The 11183-nt window shown below is 45.5% G+C and overlaps 1 protein-coding gene and 1 long non-coding RNA gene across 2 annotated transcripts in view, besides 6 other annotated features; both read left to right on the top strand.

Annotated features, from left to right (window-relative positions):
- Window positions 1–11183, top strand: part of RAD51L3-RFFL (RAD51L3-RFFL readthrough) — a 112411-nt gene that overhangs the window by 29458 nt on the left and 71770 nt on the right. The window lies entirely within an intron of this gene.
- Window positions 2146–2797: an enhancer, noted in NCBI's record as "H3K27ac hESC enhancer chr17:33416287-33416938 (GRCh37/hg19 assembly coordinates)". NCBI's record gives its function as "activates a minimal SCP1, AML or CMV promoter by ChIP-STARR-seq in naive H9 embryonic stem cells {active_cell/tissue: H9 hESC(naive)}" and the evidence as "EXISTENCE:reporter gene assay evidence [ECO:0000049][PMID:30033119]".
- Window positions 2146–3123: a biological region, named in NCBI's record as "H3K27ac hESC enhancer GRCh37_chr17:33416287-33416938".
- Window positions 2494–3123: a silencer, noted in NCBI's record as "silent region_8434". NCBI's record gives its function as "represses an Ori minimal core promoter by ATAC-STARR-seq in GM12878 lymphoblastoid cells {active_cell/tissue: GM12878}" and the evidence as "EXISTENCE:reporter gene assay evidence [ECO:0000049][PMID:35858748]".
- The window catches only part of RFFL (ring finger and FYVE like domain containing E3 ubiquitin protein ligase), an 83237-nt gene continuing 74892 nt past the window's right edge, over window positions 2839–11183 (top strand). Inside the window, exon 1 of the transcript NR_037713.2 lies at window positions 2839–2960. The gene's annotated coding sequence lies outside the window, so the exon portion shown is untranslated. The remainder of the gene's footprint in view (window positions 2961–11183) is intronic.
- Window positions 3514–3643: an enhancer, noted in NCBI's record as "active region_12058". NCBI's record gives its function as "activates an Ori minimal core promoter by ATAC-STARR-seq in GM12878 lymphoblastoid cells {active_cell/tissue: GM12878}" and the evidence as "EXISTENCE:reporter gene assay evidence [ECO:0000049][PMID:35858748]".
- Window positions 3774–3823: an enhancer, noted in NCBI's record as "active region_12057". NCBI's record gives its function as "activates an Ori minimal core promoter by ATAC-STARR-seq in GM12878 lymphoblastoid cells {active_cell/tissue: GM12878}" and the evidence as "EXISTENCE:reporter gene assay evidence [ECO:0000049][PMID:35858748]".
- Window positions 3834–3913: an enhancer, noted in NCBI's record as "active region_12056". NCBI's record gives its function as "activates an Ori minimal core promoter by ATAC-STARR-seq in GM12878 lymphoblastoid cells {active_cell/tissue: GM12878}" and the evidence as "EXISTENCE:reporter gene assay evidence [ECO:0000049][PMID:35858748]".

Below are 11183 nucleotides of genomic sequence, written 5' to 3'. Positions count from 1 at the left end.
GGTAATGCCTAAGGTGGAGAAAGGAGGAGCGTGGATAAACGCAGCTCGGAGGCCTCTGTGCTGCAGTGATATGCACATTATTTAGCAGCATTCCAATGATTTGCTTGTAATATGGACCAGAGGGCCCAGAAAAAAATGATTTCCACAGGATGTCATGAATCCAAACTTCAATTATTGGATCCAATCAGTGGATTAAGTGCACCCCCTTTCAGAACTGAACCTTCAGGTTGTAAACTAAGTTTATGAAAGGACATCCCCAGGTCTCACCCCACCCTTGTTCTGGACCTATTAACTTTTTTTCTGTTTGTTTGTTTTTTGTTTTGAGATGGAGCCTTGCTCTGTCACCCAGGCTGGAGTGCAGTGGCACGATCTCGGTTCACTGCAACCTCCACCTCCCGAGTTCAAGTGATTCCCCTGCCTCAGCCTCCCGAGTAGCTGGGATTATAGGCGTACGCCACCACGCCTCGCTAATTTTTGTTATTTTTATTAGAGATGGGGTTTCACTACATTGGCCAGGCTGGTCTCAAACTCCTGACCTCAAGTGATCAGGTCTCCCAAAGTGCTGGGATTACAGGCATGAGCCACCGCGCCTGGCCTGGACCTATTAACTTTCTATAACTATGATTTCTATCAAGAGAAAGAGTGATGTGGTGGAAAAGGCTGTGCCTTCATCACAGCTAGGAATCTATTTCAGAATTGAGAGGATGGACAAGGTCCTGGCATATCTAGGGAAAAGGAATTAGAGGGAAAGGAGGAGACCATAAATGCCTTTGGAGGGTAGGGCTGGAAATGAAGACTTAGAGAGAAGCAAACCAGACAGAATTGCATCAGGGAAAGTTACAAAAATAGCCAGGAAGGAAAATGAAGGGTACATTTAATTCGGATGTGGGAGGCCTTTAGCAGGTCAGTCTTTCCGTGCATTCCAGGTGATTGAAAAAATCAGTTTTAAATTCCAGCTTTTTGGGGCGCAGTGGCTCGTCCTGGTAATCCCAGCACTTTGGGAGGCCGAGGCGGCAGATCGCTTGAGGTTAGGAGTTTGAGACCAGCCTGGCCAACATGGTGAAACTCTGTCTCTACCAAAAACAGGCAAACAAATAAACAAATTAGCCAAGCGTGGTAGCGGGTGACTGTAGACCCAGCTATAGGGTGGGAAGATCCTTTGAACCTGGGAGGCGGAGGTTGCAGTGAGCGGAGATCACGCCACTGCATTCCAGCCTGGGTGACAGTGAGACTCTGTCTCAAAAAAATAAATAAATTGCAGCTCCGTGTATTCAAGACACTGCTGGTTGAAAGAAAAAAAAGCAATACATTCCAGCTCCACCTTTTTCTAACCATGTAGTTTTGGGTAAATTACTTAATATGTAGATCCTCATTGATAACATGGGAATAATAGTACTCAGTTTGCTGGGTTGTGAGGATTGAAAATAATACTTGTAAAGTGACAGAGTCTGATATGTATACGTGATCTTATTGTTATTATTTCTGAGGCGTCGTCTCGCCCTTGTTGCCCAGGCTGGAGTGCAATGGCGCGACCTTGGCTCACTGCAACCTCTGTCTTCCGAGTAGCTGGGATTACCGGCACCCGCCACCATTCCTGGCTAATTTTTTGTATTTTTAGTAGACATGGGGTTTCACCATGTTGGCCAGGCTGGTCTCGAACTCCTGACGTCAGGTGATCCACCCACCTCAGCCTCCCAAAGTGCTGGGATTACAGGCATGAGCCACCACGCCTGGCTCATGATCTTATTTTCCTTACGATATTCCTTGTTTGAAAATACAAATTGTTCAGAAAAACTAGGAGTTCTCAATAGAACCTAAAGCCTAAGAAAATTGTGTCACTAGACACCATTTAAAAGAAGGATTAGAACTTAATATTATGTTCATGACTAGGCATCGTAGCCCACGCTGGCTAACCATCCCCTGGGCCGCCCTGCTGCTTGGCGGTTTACTAACCACAGCTACATGCATGCGCTCACTAAATCCTCACGCCAACCTGCGTTTCTGGGATGAGAAAACCAGAGTTCGTAAAGGTTAGGTACCTTGCTGAAAGGTGCATGGGTGAAAGGCAGGGATGGATCCTCGCTGAGTCATTCTCATTCTACCACAGCCTTCCTCAGCAGCTTCCTGACTTTCCTGAGGGGAAGTAGCTAGTCCTAGCGGTTTAGACTGGGCAGTGCTAGAGTGAGTGGGACAAGCATGGGTTTTTAGGTCCCACAGACCCGGCTTCTAATACCTCCCAGTTGTGGGACGCTGAATAAGCTCGTAACCCCTAGTGGGGCTGGGTTTCTGCAATCATGAAGCGGGGGAAACCATCGCCTGCTCATCGCACCGAGGAGAGAGTCAATGAGACATGAAAGTCAGGCACCTTTCAAAGTTTTATGACATGCGTTCAGAGGTGTTGAGGGACTCGCTCAAGGTCACCAAGCCGGGTCTTGACCCAGCTGAAACTTGGACCTGGACCCTTGGGCGCCTCCCGCAGAGTTGTGTGACCAAGGTAACCAGCAGCGGCCGACCCCACGACTTTGGGGAAACGACGCCTCCTACGGCCCCACGGCTCAGGCCAGCCCGGCCCCGCCGTCGGGAGCCTCAGCTCCGCCAGGGGGCGCGAGCGGAGGCCGCGCTCGAGGCCGCCGGGCGCCTCGCTCTTCTCTATGGTGGCTCGGGCGCGGCGGGAGCGGAGGCGCGATCCCGAGAGGGGGCGGGGCCGAGTCAGGGGCGGGGCCGCGCGGAGGGCGGGAGCGGCCGGGCCGGGCCGGGCCGGCTGGGGATGGGTGGGAGGGGGGGCCGACTTCCTGGGGCCGCCCGTGAGGATGTCGCGACCGCCCCCGGGTGCCCCTCAGCCCCAGAGACGCCGCCGCGGCGGAGTCCGCAGCCTCCCTGCCTGAGGCGTCCGCGGCCGGGATCCGGCCCCTCCCCTCGCCTCCTCTCCTAGGTGCCGGCCGGGAGGGCGGCCGCAGCAGGTGAGGAGGCGGCGGCGGCGGCGCTGGGGGCCGCTGGGCGCCCGGCCTGGGGAAGGACGGGAAGGGGGACGGTCGGGTGCCGTCAGGCTGTGGTCTGGGGGCCCTTCCTCTGTGTGGGGCGCGGCCTGGGACTCTCCCTGCCCTACAGGGGTGGGGGGAAGCCCTTGGCTGGCTGGAAGTCCCCGCCTTCAGGGCAGCCCACACCTGTCCTTTGAAAAGTCCCCTCAAAGAAAGCGTTTCACCTGTGGGGGCAGTAACAGGAGACGTGCGTCCTCGATTATCCCCAAGCGCCCTGCAGACCGGCAGGTCTAGTTGGCTTGTGGGGAAAAGATACCTCTTTGTACGTCAGAAGAAACTGAGGCAGGTCCGCGGCGGCCTGCTTACCCCTTTAAAGGAACCAGCCCGTCCCTATCTCCGTCTTAGAGGAGGCGGCTGGAGGAGGGAGGTTTGGAGTTTGGAGGTTTGATGGAGAAGTTTGGGAATGCGGTTCTCCCCGCAGGGTCCACTGTTCCCTCGCTTGGGAGTTGTCCTCTGTTCGCGATGTGTGTGAGGTCGCCACTGTGCGGCAGCGGTCAAGACCGAGAGGGAAATGGGGCCTCTCTTCAGCCGGCTGCCCAGGAGACAGTTGACCAGACATGGGGAAGTCTGGCGAACCAGGGGAGCCAGAGCCTCCGCTGGCACGTCTGCTCAGAGCTTGAGTTCAGGCTGGCAGAAGAGATAAACAACAGCATATCATTTTCTCCTTTTTGTTGGTCTGTCATTTGTTCTAGGGGGGAAGAAGACTGCTTGTGTAATCAAGAGTGTACCGTGCACCCCCCAGTCTACCATAAGGAAGGATAATTGTTAGCTTGGAAATAGGGTTTTACCCACAACTGTCTCTTTGCTCCCTGGTTAAAGGCCAGAGTGACGTGATGAGCAAACATCCCGGGGTGCATGTGGCCTTCTAAGAAAGCAGTGAGTTCCTTATGTATCCCTTTGATTATTGGTTTGGAGGACAGAGAGACTTCCTGTTAACCACTGTCGCTGCAACTGTTTGGGGTGCCTTATTCTCCCCGTGACAGTTCAATTTACTGAAATGTGGGCCGGGCTGCCCGTTTATTATACCATTCTTCTAGGAATGGGAGTAGGCAGGGGACAAGGTACTGGGCTGAATTTGTGTACAGAGTTCTAGGGCTGCAGCCTAGCCGTGGCAGCTCCTTTCTGTTCAGGGGATTTCAGGTTTGACAACTTCTTTATCCTTTTCTCTGATTACATTCTCTTTCACATTCAAGGAAGTAGATGATGGCAAAGGTTTCCGAACTTTTATTGTATATTTCCTAATTCTGAATTTTAGAGTACAATTCAGAAGTTACAGTTTATTTAGAGGTATTCTTAAGTTTGAAAATATTTGGGTATATTTTCATAACAATTGCAGATTGATGTGGCAGGGCTAATATCTTGATTGTGATTGAAGAAAATGTTCATGTAATCTAGGACGCACTCATTTTAATGCCCGTCTAATTACAAAGACCAGCCTGTTAAAAACTTTCATATTGATCAGGTAGACAGTTGTGATTTCTTGTTTACATTGGGATCAAGGGTTGTAAATATTTAAATCGACCAGTTTAACCAGCCTCCAAAATAACATGCACAAAAAAAGAAAGCTCTTCTCAGAAACCTTAAAAATCAATTTCTTTCAAACCTTCTCTCATGACCAAGCCAGTTGACATAACTCTGCTTGGTACCATCTAATAGGAACACCTTTTTTTTTTTTGGAGACAGAGTCTCACTCTGTCACTCAGACTGGCGTGCAGTGGCGTAATCATGGCTCACTGCAGCCTTGACCTCCTAGGCTTAGGTGACTCTCCCTTCTCAGCCTCCTGAGTAGCTGGGACCTCAGGCATGTGCAACCACACCCAGCTAGTTTTTGTATTTTCTGTAGAGATGAGGTTTTGCCATGTTGTTCGTCATGAACTGGGCTCAAGCAATCCTCCTGCCTTGGCTTCCCCAAGTTCTGAGATTACAGATGTGAGCCACCGCGCCAGGCCGGAACACCTCTTAAGGGTTGTGGAAAAGGCGTTTTTAGTGACCAGCATTTAAGAAGACAAAACAAACAGCAACAATAACAAAAAAGGGCACAATTTCTTTTCTAATTACATGTGCATTGTTATTTAAATACAGTCACACCCATCTCTATGAGCGTCATGCCTAAGACTTTCTGAGAACACCTCTGTAAACCTAAGAAGTTGTTAGGGGGACTAATTCCACCTTGATTTTTTATTCTTGTCATAGAACCTTTAATACTGCCATGGTTTTAATGATAGAGGCTTTTATACCAAACTTGTACTAGTCATAGTGTTTATGTTTTTGGAGGAAAGATTTAACCTCTATACCTTAGAATCTCATAACTTGTTAATACAATAACAGAATTAAGGTATTAGAGTTTAATGAGAACGCATAGTTTAAATTACTATTGGTGAAGTCTCAAGTGAGGAGCTGCTTCATTGTTGTTTGGTAATGGTTACTGGTTTAATGATGATTACTGGTTATTTTTGTTTCACTTCTGGTTATTGGTAATGGTTATTTGGTGTTTGTGTAAGAAAGATTTTGGCAATTGTAAAGATAGTCTTTTTTTTTTTTTTTAATTGAGATGGGGGTCTCACTCTTGTCAACCATGCTGGAGTGCCATGGAATGATTTCAGCTCGATGCAACCTTGCCTCCTGGGCTCACGCAATCCTCGCCTCCCAAGTACCTGGGACCACAGATGTGCGTCACTACGCCCAGCTAATTTTTGTGTTTTTGGTGGAGACAGGGTTTTGCCATGTTGCCCAGGCTGATCTCAAATGCCTTGAGCTCAAGCGATCCTCTGGCCTCGGCCTCCCAAAGTGCTGGGATTATGGGTGTGAGCCACTGTGCCCAGCCTAAAGACAAGCTTTTCATATAGAAACAGACTCCCGGGTCTTTCGTAAGGAAATATCTGATTAACTTCTTATTTTGTGACTTTATATTAGTTAAGCAGTTTTAAAATAGTAAAACTAATTTGGCTCTTAGTAGGATATCCTATTATATCTCACATAAAAGCCATCTCAGATAGGTAGGAATTGGCCTCATGTATTTAAAGACCTCTGCCCTCCCTGTTTCCAAGATTTAACAGCTGCCATCAGGACAGCGGTCATAGCTAATCCTGTTATGCCAGTCTTAGTTTAAACCCATTATCCTTTCTCTTCGTTAAGACTGTCATGAAGTTCTTCCTTTACTTTTCTTATGCAGGGTGAATATTCCACATTTTTAATGTATTTGGGCCTGTTAACATTCTGCAGTGAAGCCAAGCAGTTGGTTAAAAGAGTCCTGCATGTTTTTAAACAGTTTCCTTTTTAAAGCATAAAATCTGCATCTTGGCTGGGCGCAGTGGCTCACTCCTGTAATCCCAGCACTTTGGGAGGCAGAGGCGGGTGATTACCTGAGATCAGGAGTTAGAGACCAGCCTGACCAATATGGTGAAACCCTGTTTCTACTGAAAACACAAAATTAGCCGGGCATGGTGGTGCATGCCTGTAATTCCAGCTACTTGAGAGACTGAGGCAGGAGAATCACTTGAACCTGGGAGACGGAGGTTGCAGTGAGCCGAGATCGCACCACTGCGCTACAGCCTGGGCAACAAGAGCGAAACTCCATCTCAAAAACAACAACAAAAAACTGCATTTCCTCTGGAGTAAAACCAGCTTTTTGAATCTGATAATAAAACAAAAGCTGTTTTTTCCTGCTCTCTACTAATAGAAAGTCTTTATTAACTTTACCTTACTGGTTTTGTTAGTACAGTGACTAGTGACTGGTAGTAAATGATAACCTAGTGGTAATGGGAGATCCTGAAGTCTCCTGAATCATCAATGACAGGTCACATTGGGTTCAGTGCAGCTTTAGCCTTTTGAGTATGTTTTATTGTAAGGAGTTCCAAACGCCAGCCACTCCTTGAAAGATGAGGTACCTGGTGATTTGCTGCTGAGTCACTGACCGAGATATTCTTTAAAAATGCAGATTTCCCAGCCCCACTTCCTGGAGATTTTGACTGAGTGGGTAAGTGATGACCAGAGAATTACCTTTTATTTTTTCAATTTTATAATTTATTATTACTACTATGAGGCCATACCATGTAGACGCTACCTTTTATTTTTATTAATTATTTTTATTTTATTTCATTTTATTTTGAGATGGAGTCTTGCTCTGTCACCCAGGCTGGAGTGCAGTGGCGGGATCTCGGTTCACTGCAACCTCTGGATCTCGGTTCACTGCAACCTCTGTCTCCTGGGTTCAAGCAATTCTTCTGCCTCAGCCTCCCGAGCGGCTGGGATTACAGGCACCCACCACCACACCCAGCTAATTTTTGCATTTTTTTTTTTAGTAGAGACGGGTTTTCACTACATTGGCCAGGCTGATCTTGAACTCCTGACCTCATGTGATCTGCCCGCCTCAGCCTCCCAAAGTGCTGGGATTATAGGTGTGAGCCACCACACCCAGCCTATTTATTTATTTTTGAGACAGTCTCAGCTCTGTCATCCAGGCTGGAGTGCAGTGAGGTGATCTCGGCTCACTGTAACCTCCACCTCCCAGGTTCAAGTGATGTGCCTGCCTCAGCCACCCAAGTAGCTGGGACCACAGATGTGTGTCACCACACCCGGCTAATTTTTGTATTTTTAGTAGAGACAGGGTTTTACTATATTGACCAGGCTGGTCTCAAACTCCTGACCTCAGGTGATCTGCCCGCCTTGGCCTCCCAATGTTGGGATTACAGGTGTGAGCCACTGCGTCCAGCAGGAAGCTAGCTTTAAAAAATCTCCCTTGCATCTTTATTTTCAAAAAGCTCCCCAAGTGGTTTTTATTTATTTATTTTTTTGAGATGGAGTCTCTGTCACCCAGGCTAGAGTGCGTGGCATGATCTCGGCTCACCGCAACCTCTGCCTCCTGGGTTCAAGCAATTCTCCTGCCTCCGTCTCCCAAGTAGCTGGGATTACAGGCACGCGCCACTGCGCCCGGCTAATTTTTGTGTTTTTAGCAGAGGCAGGGTTTCACCCTGTTGGCCAGGATGGTCTCAAACTCCTGACCTCAGGTGATCCACCTGCCTCGACCTCCCAAAGTGCTGGGATTACAGGCTTGAGCCATTGAGCCACCGTGCCTGGCTTCCCAAGTGCTTTGGATGTGCAGTCAAGTTTGGGAACCACCGTTTTATTGCATTGATACTCTTTTTCAGGGTGGGGGGGGCATTATCTCCTGTACATCAGGCCCCATGGAACTTTGAAAATTGGGGTTCACTTTTCTTCCCTTTTCTTTCTTTCTTTTTTTTTTTTTTGAGACAGAGTCTTGCTCTGTCACCTAGGCTGGAGTGCAGTGGTGTGATCTTGGCTCACTGCAACCTCCGCCTCCTGGGTTCAAGCAGTTCTCCTGCCTCAGCCTCCCAAGTAACTGGGACTACAGACATGCGCCACCATGTCCAGCCGATTTTTGTATTTTTTGTAGGGATGGGGTTTCACCATGTTGGCCATGCTGGTCTCAAACTACTGACCTCAAGTGATCTGCCTACCTTGGCCTCCCAAAGTGTTGGGATTACAGGTGTGAGCCACCGTGCCTGACCCGCTTTTCTTTTTTTAATTTTTAGAGTGAAATTATGCACATTGAAATTCCTTATAAATTGGTAGTCCCTCTAATAGAATCGTTATGCTATCCAGGATGTTTGATTTGCTAGAATAGCCCATTTCCTAGTCATGACAGATAACAAAGAGCTTTTATAACTTTTATGTAAATTGCTTTACAGTGAGGCCTCCTCTGCTGTATTATCTATCAGGAGTCATGAGGGAGGGTTTTTGGTGAAAGTAGCTTCGTTTATCTCATGAGTGGACAAATGAATGATAATGTGGAAACAACTAGAGGTCTGAATAGGTAGTTGAATCTAGTTATGATCATCAGTGTTGGATGGCAGAGATGCCTGGGAATTCTCTGTATGTCAAATTTTAGAATAAAGTCAGTTTGCCTGTTTTATTTCTACACAGCTGAAGCCTTTATTGAAAATAATAGGTGCGTAACAAATAGTTAATAAAATTTAGTCAGCAGCCGTTTGATGAGTTCATGGGAGGAAGAATAATTGCTGAAATATAGAACCATCTGATTTAAAACAGATTCAGGCACTAGATACGTTATCCCTAACGTAGTTTGTTTGTATAGACAAACCTGGTTTTGAATTCTGACTCCCCCACTTCCTGGCTGTGCTACCTTAGGCAAATTACTTAACCTCTGTGAGCTTCAGTTTTTTCATCTGCAAGATGAAAATACCTGGTAGGATTGTTATGTGGATTAAAAGGGGGAAAATATGCAAGGGAGGATTGAAAGAGAGAAAAATATGTTTTTTGTATATTGTAAGCAACTCAATAAACGTCCCTTCTCCCACTTCCTCACACAATTTTTATTCTGTAGGCTTAAGATGCTTTTCTAAATCCAGCTTTCTCTATATCTCTTTCCAGGAATATCTATTCAGTCAGCTCTTTTAGAAAATGTATGAAAGAGTGAGGACTAAAGTTAAGAACCAGAGAATATGGGTAAGAAGAATGAGTCACAGGACAATTAGCAACACTTTAAACAATTTTTTAGAATGAGTGGAGTGTTGGCATGTACCCAGAGTTACTATCTGCAGGAATAAATGAATAACATTACCCAAATTCTGCCATCTGTATTTGGACGGTAGCCCAGATTAGGCTAGGAGCCTTTGAGGGTGGCCTCATTAAGTAGCACCTGACATCCATTTCTTTCATTATCTTCTTTTCTCCCTTTTGGTCTTCGTTTCTTGTTCCCTGTCTCCTCCTTTTCCCTCTTTTAAAGCTGTCCTTCCTTTAGACTTGCCAATCATCATCATAGATGCAGGCCCAGTCCCTGGAACTCGAGGCTAAAAGAGGTTTCTGGTTGCTAACACCTGTCTCCTAGCTAAATGAATAAGCTCTTTTGTGGGCAGGATGTTAAAAAAGCTGATTAGTACAATACCAGCTTAAAGGGCCTATTAATGATACAGCATATGTAAATCACAGTGATTTAAAGCCATTTTAGAGATTAATTTCTTATATATTTATTTTCTATATTGAATTATGATGTCAGTTGAATTTTTACATCTAAACCATGAATCTGTTTATTACCTAAACAGACTAATTTCTTTCATATTGATTGGGAATCATTTATATTCTAAAGAAGTTTCCACCCTTAAGGGCCTTTGTATTGTTTGGCAAATGTCTAACTAGTGTGTAATACAATTGAAGTTTTGTTCACTGCGCTGCTGCCATAACTAGTTTAATTTCTGCTCCTTATATATTTCTGTTGGCAGCTGGAAAATTAAAATACTAGATGTTCCATAAAACTGATTTTTTGAGGGGTGATTTTACTGTCATTTGAATGGACTTAGGCCCCAGGGTACATTTTTTTAAGATGTCTTATTCAACTTTCCTGTAATAGTCTCTCTCTCTTTATATAATTAATGTATTAGACACATAATTGGCTGTTTAAGCATTCAGAAGAGACAATGTTTGGCCTTTTACCCAGAGATTATTTTTTTCTACATCTCTTGAGGAAATGTGTGCCATTTTTGGAAACTCCTAAGTATATTACAGTTACACTAGCACGTGAATTTTTGCAAAGACTAGAGAATGAACAATTCCCAAATCGTTCTATTCTTTTTAGATCATAGTGTTTCCAACCTGATGTGAAAGGAGAAAGGCTGTGATGTGATACCTAGTAAATCCTCCTCATAATTTTTCTATATGTTTCACAGAAATATATAGTCTTCAATAACTGAAGTTACTCTCAAGGAGACTTTACATTTAATTACTCAATCCACACTTAATTTCCTGCAAGATTCTTGGAGAGACACTCACCAGGCTACTGATTTCATGGAGTTATAACCTACACAGGTTTTTATCTCTGTTAAAGCTACTAACCCCCACTTTTTTTTTAGGTTGAAAAGTGACCTTGGTCTGGTAATTTCTTCATTGTCCTCTCCTCTAAAAAGATACAGCAAAACCTTCTTGCTCTCTCAGCAGCGTTTTTCAACTGCTACTACCGCCATGTGCTGAATTTGAATTTGAGCACACTTCAGTGTATGATTTTGTTGAGCTAATGTTATCTGACTTTTTAAAGCTGCCGCTCTGCAATGCTACAGTTAAACCTACATTTTCTGTTTTCATGTTCACATGCCTTTTCTAGAATTACATATA

Source organism: Homo sapiens, chromosome 17, assembly GCF_000001405.40.
Source record: "Homo sapiens chromosome 17, GRCh38.p14 Primary Assembly".
Classification (NCBI taxonomy): domain Eukaryota; kingdom Metazoa; phylum Chordata; class Mammalia; order Primates; family Hominidae; genus Homo; species Homo sapiens.
The sequence above is the reverse complement of the archived record's forward strand: the minus strand, read 5'-3'. Positions and strand labels throughout refer to the sequence as shown.